Source organism: Homo sapiens, chromosome 22 (assembly GCF_000001405.40).
Source record: "Homo sapiens chromosome 22, GRCh38.p14 Primary Assembly".
Classification (NCBI taxonomy): domain Eukaryota; kingdom Metazoa; phylum Chordata; class Mammalia; order Primates; family Hominidae; genus Homo; species Homo sapiens.
This window is the reverse complement of record NC_000022.11, coordinates 29,552,667-29,554,807: the sequence shown is the minus strand read 5'-3', so window position 1 is coordinate 29,554,807 and position 2,141 is coordinate 29,552,667. Positions and strand designations below refer to the sequence as shown.

Here is a 2,141-nt window from a genome sequence, read left to right as displayed (position 1 = left end):
TCAGTGTCTTTTCTTCATCTGCAAGGAACTTTAGCAGGTGCCTGAGGCAGGGCACAGTAGAGCTGGTGGGCTTAGTCCCACATGGCAGATCTACCCTCCTGGAGGGTACTGTGTTCTTGAGCTATTCTCAACAGTCAGTACTGGTTGGGTGCAGTGGCTCACGCCTGTAATCCCAGCATTTTGGAAGTCCGAGGTGGGCAGATCACTTGAGTGAGGTCAGGAGTTCAAGACCAGCCTGGGCAACATGGTGAAACCCTGTCTCTACTAAAAATACAAAAATTAGCTGGGCATGGTGGTGCATGCCTGTAATCCCAGCTACTTAGGAGGCTGAGGCAGGAGAATCCTTTAAACCCTGGAGTCGGAGTTTGCAGTGAGCGGGGATTGCGCCACTGCACTTCAGCCTGGGTGAGAGAGCAAAACTCTGTCTCAAATAAAAATAAAAATAAAAAAGAGCCAGTATTTTCCTCCTTGCTCCTGGGAAGGAGAAGGAACTGGCCCCGTACAACCAGGGATTCAGGACACGTGTTACTAGCTCCAGATGAGGATTTACACGAAAAAATCCTGGGCCTTGTTTGTACAGTTCATGCCAGGGGTAGGAAATACCTGAAGCTTTCAAATACTGCGTTAGAGTTGTGACTCTGTCCTGGGCAAGTCAGGCCTAAAATGGAGAAACTGGTGATGCACTCCTCAAAAAGCCAAGTGTAAAATGAGGTTAATGCCCTCCCTGACTTGTTGCCTTCACTGGCGTGGCATATTATGGTAAAAATAATAATTAAGAAGTAAGGTTATGCAGGCAAATCCTCTAGCGCCGAAATCTTCCCCGCCGCGCTACCAGGTTCTTTCGTGTTATCTTGGACATAACACAACATTAATTCAACTACTCGGTGGAGCGCCCACTAGCTGCTGGACACTCTCTTAGGCCCTGGGCACAGTGAACGAGAAGCATGTGTCTTTGTTTTTACAGTCTCACCACGCCACCACCTCCCTCGGGGGCCTCCGCGCTGAGCTTCCGGCCTCTACGCCTCGCTTCCGGTCGGCCGCCCCTTCCTTACTTCCGGTTCTCTATGGTGCGCGGGCAAGCTTTGCTCCGCCTCCGGCAGTGGCTTACTCCCGGTGCCAGGTTCTTGGAGCTGTGAGGTGAGGAGGGGACAAGGGCAGTGGGGCTGGGAGATGGGGCGGGGCTGGGCGCTCCGGGACTGAGGTGCTGATCGCCCAAAGGGCGCCCCTGGGCTGGGGTCTGACCCGGCTTCTCCTCCCTCACTACCCGCGGTCCCCGGCCTCTCGGCGCTGCGCTGTTACCTCATCCGAAAAGTGTTCGCTGCAGCATCCTCAGGCTTCACGTTGGAGCCTCTTGATTGTGGTAATGTAGCCTGATGGGGGTGGGGGTGGTGGTGATGGTAACAGCTCACATATATCGTGCTCTTCGGTGTGCCAGGCACTCTACTGTGTTGCCAAAGTCAGGATTTCCCACACTTAAGCCTTTCAGGTCCGGTCTTTGTAGGCTTTGCCAGATCAACTTACCACCTCTACTACCGTTTATTAAAAATTTGTTTGTTTGTTTGTTTTAGTATTTATTGATAATTCTTGGGTGTTTCTCGCAGAGGGGATTTGGCAGGGTCATAGGACAATAGTGGAGGGAAGGTCAGCAGATAAACAAGTGAACAAAGGTCTCTGGTTTTCCTAGGCAGAGGACCCTGCAGCCTTCCGCAGTGTTTGTGTCCCTGGGTACTTGAGATTAGGGAGTGGTGATGACTCTTAAGGAGCATGCTGCCTTCAAGCTTCTGTTTAACAAAGCACATCTTGCCCCGCCCTTAATCCATTTAACCCTGAGTGGACACAGCACATGTTTCAGAGAGCACGGGGTTGGGGGTAAGGCTATAGACCAACAGCATCCCAAGGCAGAAGAATTTCTCTCAGTACAGAACAAAATGGAGTCTCCCTTGTCCACCTCTCTCCACACAGACACAGCAACAATCCGATTTCTCTATCTTTTCCCCACATTTCCCCCCTCTCTACTAGACAAAACCGCCATCGTCATCATGGCCCGTTCTCAATGAGCTGTTGGGTACACCTCCCAGACGGGGTGGCGGCCAGGCAGAGGGGCTCCTCACCTCCCAGAAGGGGCGGCCGGGCAGAGGCGC

The 2,141-nt window shown here is 52.5% G+C and overlaps 1 protein-coding gene across 10 annotated transcripts in view, besides 3 other annotated features; it reads left to right on the top strand.

Annotated features, from left to right (window-relative positions):
- Positions 134-831: an enhancer, noted in NCBI's record as "H3K27ac hESC enhancer chr22:29949966-29950663 (GRCh37/hg19 assembly coordinates)". NCBI's record gives its function as "activates a minimal SCP1, AML or CMV promoter by ChIP-STARR-seq in primed H9 embryonic stem cells {active_cell/tissue: H9 hESC(primed)}" and the evidence as "EXISTENCE:reporter gene assay evidence [ECO:0000049][PMID:30033119]".
- Positions 681-750: an enhancer, noted in NCBI's record as "active region_18816". NCBI's record gives its function as "activates an Ori minimal core promoter by ATAC-STARR-seq in GM12878 lymphoblastoid cells {active_cell/tissue: GM12878}" and the evidence as "EXISTENCE:reporter gene assay evidence [ECO:0000049][PMID:35858748]".
- Positions 1,051-2,141, top strand: part of THOC5 (THO complex subunit 5) — a 47,879-nt gene continuing 46,788 nt past the window's right edge. For 6 of the 10 annotated variants that reach the window (XM_005261799.2, XM_047441559.1, XM_047441558.1 and 3 more), the window contains exon 1: positions 1,153-1,360. The gene's annotated coding sequence lies outside the window, so the exon portion shown is untranslated. The other 4 variants (NM_003678.5, XM_005261797.2, NM_001002877.2 and 1 more) reach the window with 1 other exon arrangement.
- Positions 1,151-1,340: a silencer, noted in NCBI's record as "silent region_13592". NCBI's record gives its function as "represses an Ori minimal core promoter by ATAC-STARR-seq in GM12878 lymphoblastoid cells {active_cell/tissue: GM12878}" and the evidence as "EXISTENCE:reporter gene assay evidence [ECO:0000049][PMID:35858748]".